Raw genomic sequence first — 12,229 nt, forward strand, 5'->3', positions numbered from 1 at the left:
TGCTTTCTCCACTCATATAGTTAATATTTTTTCTCCTTGCTACAATTAATAAGCAGTCTGTCGGGGGAGATACTTTAAAATCATGCCAGTATTCTAATTTTGTTAGAATTTCCCCTGGGATTGTTTTGCTTTTAACTTTGCCATACCCTTAATGTTTTAGGCACATGTCTTATAAAAACCTAGAATTTGTTTTTTGTTCAACCTGACAATCTCTTTTTAAGATGTCAATTTTAGCCTATTTATTATGAATAACAAATTCATAATAAATTCATAAATAATAAACTCAATGAATTAATTTATTATTAATTAATTGACTGTTTCTAACTTCTTATTTTGTGTTTTTGTTTACCCTTCTTATATTTAAAGAAGAATAAATTTAACACCTATATACATATGATTCTACCCTGGGTTTTTGTGCTATCTTTTTCTTTCTTCTTTTGGATTGATTGATTGTTTTTAAAACATTTCTTTTTTGTCTATATCAGTTTTAGAACTTAGGCATTCTATTTCTATAACTGAATACCCTTGTATTTTTAACCTGCATCATTGATTGGCTAATATCACTTCCTACCTTTCTGAACAATAAAAGGACCTTAGAAAATCTTAACTCCAGCTCTAACTCCCATATTAGTTATTACTGTTGTTCCATATTTTAGAATTATCTTTTTTTAACTTCCAACATTGTCATTATTATTATTTATTCAGGGATATTTACATTTGCCACCATGCCAATTGCTTTAGTCACCGTTTCCTTTGCCTCTTGGTCCTTCTTCTTTTTAAAATACATCTGTTAGAAGTATCTTCAGGCCAGCCACGGTGGCTCATGCCTGTAATCCCAGCACTTTGGGAGGCTGAGGCGGACAGAGCACCTGAGGTCAGGAGTTTCAGAGCAGCCTGGCCAAGATGGCGAAACCCTGTCTCTACTCAAAATACAAAAATTAGCCAGGCCTGGTGGTGCACGCCTGTAATCCCAGCCACTTGGGAGGCTGAGGCAGGAGAATTGCTTGAACCTGGGAGGTGGAGGTTGCAGTGAGCCGGGATCGTGCCACTGCACTCCAGCCTGGGGGACAGAGTGAGACTCCATCTCAAAAACAAATAAAAAAAAAGTGTCTTCATTGAGGAGTTTGGTGGAAAACCCTACCAGTTTTTTTATTTGTCTGAGAAGGGTTATTTTCACCCTCATTTAAAAAGTCTTTTTATTGTAAATTTCAAGCATATACAAATGTAGACAGACTAAACTCCAACATATATCAGCTCATGGCCAATCTTGCTTCAATCTGTACCCCCATCTATTCCCCACCCCCAAAATTTAAAAGATAAGTACTCTTTGTTTAAAAAAAAAGGATACTACAGTTATCAAGTATTTAGAAATTTGCAGTTCCTTGTATGAAGTATACAGTCATTGCTCATATTTCCCTGATTGCCTTGGGGTTTTTTGGTTAGTTATTTTGTTTAGTGAGGATCCAAACAAGGTCCACGCATTGCATTTGGTTGCATTATCTTACATCTCCCTTACTCTATAGGTTTCCACCTCCCATTTTATCCTCCTTGCAATTATTTCTGGAGGAAAGTGGGTTATTCATTCACAGGCTGGATTTTCCTGATTGCATTCACGTGGTGTCCTCAAGCATAATTCCTCTGTCTCCTTTATTTCCTGAAAACTGATTTGTAGGTGTAGAGGCTTATTCAGATTTGGGTTTGATTTCTCAGGCAAGAACACTTCATTGGTGGTATGTGTCCTTCCACCAGGAGGCAGGTTCAGCCTGTCTCCCTTTGTGATGTTGAGATGGATCAATGGATTTCAGTGTGTCAGTCTTGTCTATACATTACATGTAATTTTCCATCAGCTTTTCACCAGGCAGGCATTTCTACCATTGCTTAGGTCTATCATTTCATTAGGGGTTTTGAAATAGTTATATCTAGTTCTGTCACTCCTTCTTCATGTATTAGCTGGAATGCTTTCAAGAGAAACCCTTTCACTAACTGTTTATCTACCCTGAAGTCCGGTTTATACAGGAAAGGCTTGATTGTTTCCACTTCCAATTATTTTTAACTCATTTTAAAAATAATATGGTGGTTCTCTAGTAACTTTTAAATAAAACCAATGAGGTCTTTTAAAAATATATCATTATGAACTCACAGATTTTAAAATATTTTGTGTGGTTCCATCACACATTGCAGGTGGATTTTTTTTTTTTTGGATTCTCAAATTGTCCCATCTTTGGTAAGACAGCATCTCTCAGGCAGGCTCCTAGTCCCTTTAATACTCTCCCTTTGACAGCTTCCTTGCTTTCCAGTATGAACAGATGTCTCAGGCTCACCTTGCCTGAGCTGTGAAACAGGAGGAGGAAGAGATCCAGCCCAGTGGGTCTTTAAAACTGTGAGCTCCTTGAGGGCAAAATGCAAGTGTTTTCTCTCTGGTGTTTTTGCATGGAACCTGCCTGGCTCAGGGCTAGGCGCTGGGTCTAGGGATGGGCTCCTAGATACCCGTGGCTCATCAGGGAGGCAGGCGCAGGGAAGGCTGAGATCTGGAAGCTTGACAAGGTATCTCTCTGTCTGAAAATGCTGGGGCCCTCCTCCCCATAGGGACTAGTAGGAGCAAAGCTTGACACCTCAACCCCTAAACCCCTTGTTTCGCCCATTCTGTGTCTCCACCCTTCTCCTTGACACTTGCCTAGGTCAGAACCATCCAGTCCTGGACATGGGACCACATCGGCGACTGCAGTGGACGTGGCTGGGCCGGGCTGAGCTGCAGTTTGGGAAGCAGATACTGCATGTGTCCACCGTGCAGATGTGGCTGCTGCTGAAATTCAATCAGACAGAGGTGCTTCAGCCCTTAGCCTCTCTCTGCCTTCTCTGCTACCTTATCTGTCGCTGTTCTCCTCCTAAACCCTGTTCCTCCTTCATCCTTACTCCCCTCTTCCTTTTCTTTCCTTTGACTCCTGACTGGGCGTTTCTGCTCATCAGGAGGTGTCAGTAGAGACCTTGCTGAAGGATTCTGACCTCTCCCCAGAGCTGCTGCTCCAGGCACTCGTGCCCCTCACCTCAGGGAATGGCCCTTTGACCCTGCATGAGGGCCAGGACTTTCCACACGGGGGTAGGTCATTGGGGGCCGGGCTGAGCCTCTGCTGCTGGTCGGGGGGTCGCCCTCAAGATGGGGGGACTGTGAGAATGGGGTCATCTTAGTCCCCATTCATCTGTCCCTCTGCCTCCTCTGGTACCTGACCGGGAGCGGGTTCCAGGTGTGCTGCGGCTTCATGAGCCTGGGCCCCAGCGCAGTGGGGAGGCCCTGTGGCTGATACCTCCCCAGGCATACCTGAACGTAGAGAAGGATGAAGGCCGAACCCTGGAACAGAAGAGGAATCTCTTGAGCTGTCTTCTTGTTCGTATTCTCAAAGCCCATGGGGAAAAGGGCCTCCACATTGATCAGCTGGTTTGTCTGGTAGGCAGAGAGGGGACCATGAAGTTGGCGGAGGGAGGGAGTCATGCTTGGGATTGGGGATGAACACAGTGAACTCTTTCAATATAAGACTTCTGTAGGGTGACATTTCCATCTGGGTTTTCTGTTCCTGACAGAGCAGATAGACAGCAGATAAAGATAAGGCATGAGTGTTTACCATGAACCAGGCCCTATGCTAAGAGTTTGCATGATTAAGTCATTTAATCCAGCCAGGTACAGTGGCTCATATCTGTGATCCTAGCACTTTGGGAGGCCAAGGCAGGCGGATCACTTGAGGCCAGGAGTTTGATACCAGCCTGGCCAACATGGCGAAACCCTGTGTCTACCAAAAATATAAAAATTAGCTGGGCATGGTGGCACATGCCTGTAATCCCAGCTACTTGGGAGGCCGAGGCATGAGAATTGCTTGACCCAGGAGGCGGAGGTTACAGTGAGCCAAGACTGCCACTGTACCCCAGCCTGGGCAACAGAGCAAGACTCTGTCTCAAAAAGAAAAAAAGTCATCATTTAATCTTCACAACAATCCTAGAAATGTTATTTTATTTCATTTGACAGATAAGAACAGTGAAGTATGAGAAACTTAGTAGTGGCCGGGCGCGGTGGCTCATGCCTGTAATCCTAGCACTTTGGGAGGCTGAGGTGGGTGGATCACTTGAGGTCAGGAATTCGTGACCAGCCTGGCCAATATGATGAAACCCCATCTCTACTAAAAATACAAAAATTAGCCAGGCGTGGTGGTGCACACTTGTAGTCCCAGTTACTTGGGAGGCTGAGGCGGTAGAATCACTTGAACCCAGGAGGCAGAGATTGCAGTGAGAGATGGTGCCACTGCACTCCAGCCTGGGCAATAGAGTGAGACTGTTGGGAAAAAAAAAAAAGAGAGAAACTTAGTAACTAATCCACAATCACACAGCTAGTAAGTGGCAGAGCTGCCAGACACCATGGCTCATGCAGGAGGATTACTTGAGTCCAGGAGTTTGAGGGTGCAGTGAGCTGTGATCAGGCCACTGCACTCTGGCCTGGGTGACAGAGCAAGACTGTCTCTTAAAAAAAAAGGGGGGGAAAAATAAGTGGCAGAGCTGGGCATTGAGCCCAGCAGCCTGCTCCCTACATAAAAGTGGACTTCTTGTTTCTTTCCTCCTATCCAGGTGCTGGAGGCCTGGCAGAAGGGTCCAAATCCTCCTGGAACCCTGGGCCACACTGTTGCTGGGGGTGTGGCCTGTACCAGTACAGATGTCCTCTCTTGCATCCTGCACCTCTTAGGCCAGGGCTACGTGAAACGGCGTGATGACCGGCCCCAGATCCTGATGTATGCCGCTCCAGAGCCCATGGGGCCCTGCCGGGGTCAGGCAGATGTCCCTTTCTGTGGCAGCCAGAGCGAAACCTCCAAGCCCAGGTAGCCACTGCACCTGACCCCTTGCAGTGAGGCGGGAGAGGTGGTCATGCCAAAGCCAAGATCCCTTGTGGAGAAACACTTCCCTTCTTTCTTTGTCTGATCCCCTTTTCCCTATCCCTGTTATTTCCCTGACTTTGGTAGTTTTTATTGACCCTCCCAGCACCACCACCCCTTTCCAATCAGAGGCCTGCAAATATGTATTGAGTGCTAACTATGTACTCTACTCAGTTAAATATACAAACTTTCAGGAAGTTTGTTCTACAGAGGAATTTGCCATAGGATTTCTCTAATCAACCAGCACCCCTAAAGCTTTTTAATGTTCATTGGAAGCTGTTATGGCCCTGCTTTTCATGCCTGCTGTTTGCATCATGTGTAAAGTGAATTATCGCGAGTAATCTTTCTCAAACCTCAACATGGCGCCAGTGTTAAAATGCAGATTTAACAGCAGAGCTCTCTGTGCTGCCTGTGCTGCTGGTCCACAGACCACACTTGAGCAGTAAGGATGGAGACTCCTGTTCTCACTACAGGTGCTGCCACCATTTGGGGTGAGACCTACAGTGGGACTGTCCCATCAGCTATTGGTCTCTTAGCACCCTGACCCCTAGATACCTATTTTGTCCCCAGTCATTGCAACAGCCAGCCCCACCCTGACATTTACAGGTGCTTCTGTGGAGGATCTGCTCTGACGGTTGGTTTGGGTGGTTATCCTGAGGCTGCTTAGGCAAGCGAGCAAGTATGCTCAAAGAGGGAGCTGGGGGCCAGGTGGGGTTCAGTTAGTAGGCTGGATAGCAGGGCAGGAATACTGACTTCTGTCTCTTCCCTCCCCACAAGCCCAGAAGCTGTGGCTACCCTGGCATCTCTACAGCTGCCTGCAGGCCGCACCATGAGCCCCCAGGAAGTAGAAGGGTTGATGAAGCAGACGGTGCGTCAGGTGCAGGAGACGCTGAACTTAGAGCCAGATGTCGCTCAGCACCTTTTGGCTCATTCCCACTGGGGCGCTGAACAGCTGCTGCAGAGCTACAGTGAGGACCCTGAGCCACTGCTGCTGGCAGCTGGGCTGTGCGTACACCAGGCTCAGGCTGTACCCGTACGGCCTGACCACTGCCCCGTCTGTGTGAGCCCCCTGGGGTGTGACGACGACCTGCCCTCTCTCTGCTGCATGCACTATTGCTGTAAGGTGAGGCCCCACCAGCATTGCTCCTGCCCCTGGCTTTCTGCCCTACCCTAACAAAATTCCTTGGGAATTCTTGGGTTCTAGCCCAGCACTGCCATTTTCATCACCTGGGCAATAGTGGATTTAGTCTCTTAGTCCTTCTTAAACTAGTTTTGTCATCTGTAAGTGGTACCACCTGCCTTGACACTCTAAAGGGTGGTGGTTGGGATCCAGCGATATATACCAATGGTGCTCCAGCTGACCTTCATATTATAATCACTGGAAGCTTTTATAAGTGTTAATGCCCAGACGATACCTCAGACTAATTAAACCAGAATCTCTGGAGGTGAGAAATCTACAGGAAGTTTTAAAGCCTCCTCACGGGATTCCCATTATCAGCCAAGTTAGAACTAAGAGATATACGTGTAAAATAGATGTCAAGACACTTTGTGAAGTGTTTGCAAAAGTGTTAGTAGATTGGTGATGACTCTAGTTTGTGGTTGCCCTTATTACCATTTAAGTCCCCACATCTCAGTGCACTATCACTGCTTTTATCATATACTCTCATTTAATACAAAAATTTTTAAAAATAGGCCTGGTGAGGTAGTGTGCATGCCTATAATCCCAGCACTTTGGGAGGCTGATGTAGGCAGATTGCTTGAGCCCAGGAGTTCGAGACCAGCCTGGGCAACATGGCAAGACCCCGTCTCTACAAAAAAATACAAAAATAAGATGGGCATGGTGGTGCACACCTATAGTCCCAGCTACTTGGGAGGCTGAAGTGGGAGGATCACCTGAGCCTGGGAGGCGGAGGCTGCAGTGAGCCAGTATCTCGCCACTGCACTTCAGCCTGAAGGACAGAGTGAGACCCTGCCTCAGGGTCTTCTTGCTCTATAGGCTTGCTTCTATATAGTGGACACAGAAGCTTGCATTTGGGGAGTGAGTCATCTTCAAAAATAAAAAATGTGGGGCTGAGGTACAGAGAACCTGGAGCACTGAGTCCGATATTCCTGCCTCACAGCTCTTTAGAACTGGTGCCAAGCCCAAACACTTCAGTTTAGCAGGAGGGGCACTCCTGGTTGCCATGAATTCCAGCTGCTTCTGCCAACAGCGTTTCCCCAGTAGTGGGTGATAGACGTGTCTGCATGTGCTTGTGTGCACGTGCATGCGTGTGTATTCTCTTTTTCTCTTTCCCTTTGGCTGTGCTTCTGGCTTCTCCTCTCACATAGTTGCTTATGCTCCCTTTTCCCCAGGTTCTTAATTATTTCCTTTACACTTTCATTTTTTCATTCAACAAATATTTCTCATGGATTTATGTGCATAGCACTGGGTGCTAAATGAGGTATTGAAAAAAATCCCAGCAAGAAATGACCAGAGAGCTAATAATATTGATGGGAGCTCACTCTGAGCCAGGCATTGTGCTGTTTACATGCATTATTTTACTTAATTCTCATACTAGTTCTATGAGGTAGGTATTTTTGTTATTCCCATTTTACATGACAGAGGGAGACACTCAGAGGTGAAGTAATTTGCCAAAGGTCAGGATTTGAATTTTGGCAGTCTCAGGCAATCCTCCCGCCTTGACCTCCCAAAGTGCTGGAATTATAGGCATAAGCCACCACACCCAGCCTGACAGTGGATTTTATTTTATGAGAAGCCATGGTGGGTTTAAGCAGAATATTGATATTATCTGGTTTACATTTTTTATTTTTATTATATTATTTATTTATTTTTATTTTATTATTATTATTTTTTGAGATGGAGTCTCACTCTGTCACCCAGGCTGCAGTGCAGTGGCGCGATCTCGGCTCATTGCAACCTCCATCTCCCGGGTTCAAGCGATTCTTCTGCCTCAGCCTCCCGAGTAGCTGGGACTATAGGCGCCCGCCACCGCGCCCGGCTAATTTTTTGCATTTTTAGTAGAGACGGGGTTTCACTGTGTTAGCCAGGATGGTCTCGATCTCCTGACCTCGTGATCCACCCACCTCAGCCTCCCAAAGTGCTGGAATTACAGGCGTGAGCCACTGCGCCCGGCCCTACATTTTTTAAAAGATCGCTTCTGCCGTTGTGTGGAGAAAAGGCTTGGAGGGAGCAAGAGTGGAAGCAGGAAGGCCCATTTGGTGACTGTTGTACGAGAGACAAGAGATGGTGGTAGTTTGGACTGGGGCAGTGGCGATGAGAGAGGGTGGATTGGGACACATTTGGAAGTGGAGCTGACGGGAGTTGGTGGGTTAAATGTAGGGGCTTCAGACAGGGGAATCAAGGATGGTTCCTGTGCTTTGACCTGAGCACCTGGGTGGATGGCATGTGTCATCTTTACTCTGTTGTGGCCCTGTGAAGTTTGAGCTGCTTGTTGGACACCTGTGTGGAACTGGCAGGTAGACAGTGGATTTTTGAATTTGGAATGAAGCAGAGAGGCCTGGCAGGCCTTACCCAAGGAGAAAGAAGCAGACCCAGGGAACCAAGCCTGTAAAGATACAGAGACGGGGGGTCTCAGGAGTTTGAGACCAGCCTAGACAACACAGCAAGACCCCATAGCTACAAAAAATAGAAAAAAACTTTACCCAGGCATGGTGGTGCACACCTATAGTCCTGCCTACTCAGGAGGTTGAGGTGGGAGGATTGCTTGAGTCCAGGAGATTGAGGCTGCGGTGAACCATGATTGTGCCATTACCCTCCAGTGTGGGTGACAAAGCGAGACTTTGTTTAAAAGAGAGAGAGAGAGAGAGAGACAAGGGGCCTGAAAACCAGGCAGATGAACAGGCTGATTGAAAAGCCCCTGCAAGGAGGAGCCTGTGCAGCATTGGTCACAGCTGAGTGGCACAACAGCAATGCAAGAGAAGCAGCCGGACAGCTCCCAGGGTGAGCCCCACCACTTGGGTTGGACAGTAGTCATGAGAGCAGCTGGGAGTCCCCAGACTGAGATGCCAGGGCAGAGGGGGACCCTGAGGCACTGGTGTGCCTGTAAGAATAGGGTCTGAATTCAGAGAAAATTTTCCCTGTTCTATCTCAAAAATGTAAGAATTTGCATTCAATTTCCCAACTTTGGGTTTGTTTCAATGCAGAAAGGGTTTTGTTTACTTTGGTCTGGTACTTTGAGTAAAAATGACCTAGTCAGGTGCTTCAAATTTATGCTGCAGCTTTGATATCACAGACACACGGTCTCCTGAGGGTTTAGACCCATCATTTTGGAAGGCATGGCCATAGGCAGTGTGAGAGGCAGGGGTCACTCATGGAGTATTGTAGGAGGCTCAGACGGCTGCAACGGCTGCTCGTGCATAGACCAAATGGATGGTGTAGGGAGAGACCGGGAGAGGAGACCATGGATCAGGCTCTCACAGTGGTTTAGGGATGAGGGGATAATGGCCTGATTTAGGATGGGGGAGTGACATGGGAGCAAGAGAACGATATGAAAGTTCCAACACTGGTGACGAGGGGGACAGTGGTGCAAGTTGATCAGGGTTTGGGGGACGCAATGGGCAAGTCAGTTTTGTAGAGAAGAGGCTGGGTCTGTTGGAGGCATAAGTCAGAGACAGGAGCATCCGGACGGTCATTGGAGATAAGCCACTGGAGCTGGGAGGAGAGACCAGAGCTGTGTTGTCAGCCACCCAGGCAACCCATTTCCCAGGCCTCCTTTCTCTCGGACCTTCCTGCTCTCTGCATATCTTTCTGAGAATTTGAATCGTTCTCCTTTTTCTTAATTATTTTTACCCATTCCCTCCTTGTCCATCCCAACAGTAATTATGATTAGGCAAATACACAGCCCACCCCATCCTCAAAGACAACTGTAATTTGGGCCAGTCTCAGCAAAGCTGGAGAGAGGAGTCAGCATTGGTTGATCTAGAGGCAGGCTTGTTTCTGGCCTTCCACGTTGTAGTGGAGGGGAAGGGAAGGAGGGACGCTAGCTTAGTTACCAGGACACTCCCCCTGTGCTGCTCCCACACTGTCTGTGAGCAGCCCCTCCTTTTGTCCCTCCCAGTCTTGCTGGAATGAGTACCTGACAACTCGGATCGAGCAGAACCTTGTTTTGAATTGCACCTGCCCCATTGCCGACTGCCCCGCCCAGCCCACCGGAGCCTTCATTCGTGCCATCGTCTCCTCGCCAGAGGTCATCTCCAAGGTATCCCCTCTCGTCTGAGAGAGGCTCCAGTGCAGAGCCAAAGGAGTGTGCCCCAGGGAGTGGGCTGAGCTATGGGGTGCTGGGGGCCTGGAGGTGTGGCATCCTGGAGAGCCATACCCTCACCTCGTGGCACCTGCGTCTCCACAGTATGAGAAGGCGCTCCTGCGTGGCTATGTGGAGAGCTGCTCCAACCTGACCTGGTGCACCAACCCCCAGGGCTGCGACCGCATCCTGTGCCGCCAGGGCCTGGGCTGTGGGACCACCTGCTCCAAGTGTGGCTGGGCCTCTTGCTTCAACTGTAGCTTCCCTGAGGTGGGAGCCCCACACTGGCCCTGACCCTGAGCAAGGATTCACACTCCTTCCCTGCTTAATATCCCCACCCCGCCACACACACAGACTGTGACTTGTCCTTCCTCAGCCTCTGCCACCCAGTTGAGCTCTGTTCCTCTTCCTGGAGCCCTCCAAATGTGATCTGTGCCTGCTCCCCTCTCTCCTGTGCACACCAGCCATGCTGCCCTCACGGCTCAGCTGTGTCCCCACCATGCCCTCTTGCCTTAGGCACACTACCCTGCTAGCTGTGGCCATATGTCTCAGTGGGTCGACGACGGTGGCTACTATGACGGCATGAGCGTGGAGGCGCAGAGCAAGCACCTGGCCAAGCTCATCTCCAAGCGCTGTCCCAGCTGTCAGGCTCCCATCGAGAAGAACGAGGGGTGCCTGCAGTAAGAAGGGGGGTACTGTGGGGAGCCAGAGGGCAAGGAGGGGGGAGGAGGCCTGGCAGAAGGAGGGGGGAACGGGCTTAGTGTAAAGCTCAGCAAAAGAGGGTGGTTCCTCAGCCGCCCCTCACGTGGCAGCCTCCACGGTGACTTCCTGGATCTTAATGTTCCTTCTCCCACTCGTAAGTCCACACTGACTGGGGGAGTTCAAAAGCAGAGGTGCATTCAGCAGGGCTGGGTATGACTAAGGAGACTATCAGGGCAGGAGCAGAGGCCACAGCATCAACAGCGGTACATCTGGGCCCTTGGCATTCCTGGCACACCCCTGCCCAGAGGCAGGAGTCCCTGACCAGCCAGCTTCCTCCATAGCATGACCTGTGCCAAATGTAACCATGGATTCTGCTGGCGCTGCCTCAAGTCCTGGAAGCCAAATCACAAAGACTATTACAACTGCTCTGCCATGGTAAGGCGCTGGGCACTAGGGGAGGGCAGAGGCCCAGAGCCGTCGGGGAGGGGTGCTGCTACCAGGTCCTGGGCAGACAGGGCTCCTTGTGCAGTGCAGCATTCTAGCTGTTGGGATAGAGGCTCACTGTGGGGAAGACAGAGCCACCTGGGCCTGCAGATGCTGGAAAGTCTGTTCACAGGGACCTTCAGCTCCAGAACAGGACTTCTCATACCGAGGTGGCTACAGAAAGGCTGGGGAGGGCTGGGCACTCTCAGAAGGCAGCAGGGCAGAGCAGGAAAGAGCAGGGACCCTGCATTTAGAGCCTGGCTCTGCTGCTTAGCATGTGGCTTTGAGCAAGTTCATTTACTTCTCCAAGCCTCAACAGCCTCTGCAAAAGGGGTGAATAATATGACCTACTCCACACAGTCATGAGGACTGAATGAAGATAATCGGGGGAGGTGTAGAAAGGCCTCCGTGAATGTTGGCTTTTCCACTTATTAACTCCCTCCTGTCCAAACAAAACACCCAATAGCCCTCCCAACGTATCCTTGCTAGGTAAGCAAGGCAGCTCGCCAGGAGAAGCGGTTTCAGGACTATAATGAGAGGTGCACTTTCCATCACCAGGCGCGGGTGAGTCGGGAGGAAACAGCGGGTAGATGCCTGCAGAAGCAGGTTGGGGTGGTGGGGTGGAGGGGGGTGGGCTGAAGGTCTGACCGGGCAGGTGGTGCTGCGCCACCTGTGCTGGTACTGATACACCTTCCTCCACACAGGAGTTTGCTGTGAACTTGCGGAACCGGGTGTCTGCCATCCATGAAGTGCCCCCGCCCAGATCCTTCACCTTCCTCAATGATGCCTGCCAGGGACTGGAGCAGGCTCGGAAGGTGGTAGCGGGTGGGGGAAGAGAGCAGGGGAGGGGTGTGCCAAATGGGTCTGGGGGGC

General features: G+C 49.4%; 1 protein-coding gene across 18 annotated transcripts in view; it reads left to right on the forward strand.

Annotated features, from left to right (window-relative positions):
- Nucleotides 1–12,229, forward strand: part of CUL9 (cullin 9) — a 42,392-nt gene that overhangs the window by 28,275 nt on the left and 1,888 nt on the right. For 14 of the 18 annotated variants that reach the window (XM_017010589.2, XM_011514423.3, XM_047418475.1 and 11 more), the window contains 11 exons: nucleotides 2,679–2,824; nucleotides 2,968–3,097; nucleotides 3,243–3,442; nucleotides 4,609–4,856; nucleotides 5,688–6,033; nucleotides 9,989–10,129; nucleotides 10,277–10,441; nucleotides 10,688–10,851; nucleotides 11,215–11,308; nucleotides 11,846–11,920; nucleotides 12,061–12,171. In XM_017010589.2, the coding sequence (XP_016866078.1) occupies nucleotides 2,679–2,824; nucleotides 2,968–3,097; nucleotides 3,243–3,442; nucleotides 4,609–4,856; nucleotides 5,688–6,033; nucleotides 9,989–10,129; nucleotides 10,277–10,441; nucleotides 10,688–10,851; nucleotides 11,215–11,308; nucleotides 11,846–11,920; nucleotides 12,061–12,171 (1,820 nt within the window). Of the gene's footprint in view, nucleotides 1–2,678; nucleotides 2,825–2,967; nucleotides 3,098–3,242; nucleotides 3,443–4,608; nucleotides 4,857–5,687; nucleotides 6,034–9,988; nucleotides 10,130–10,276; nucleotides 10,442–10,687; nucleotides 10,852–11,214; nucleotides 11,309–11,822; nucleotides 11,921–12,060; nucleotides 12,172–12,229 lie in introns of those variants that run through there. The other 4 variants (XM_011514426.2, XM_047418481.1, XM_011514428.2 and 1 more) reach the window with 4 other exon arrangements.

This window comes from Homo sapiens, chromosome 6 (assembly GCF_000001405.40).
Source record: "Homo sapiens chromosome 6, GRCh38.p14 Primary Assembly".
NCBI classification, from domain to species: domain Eukaryota; kingdom Metazoa; phylum Chordata; class Mammalia; order Primates; family Hominidae; genus Homo; species Homo sapiens.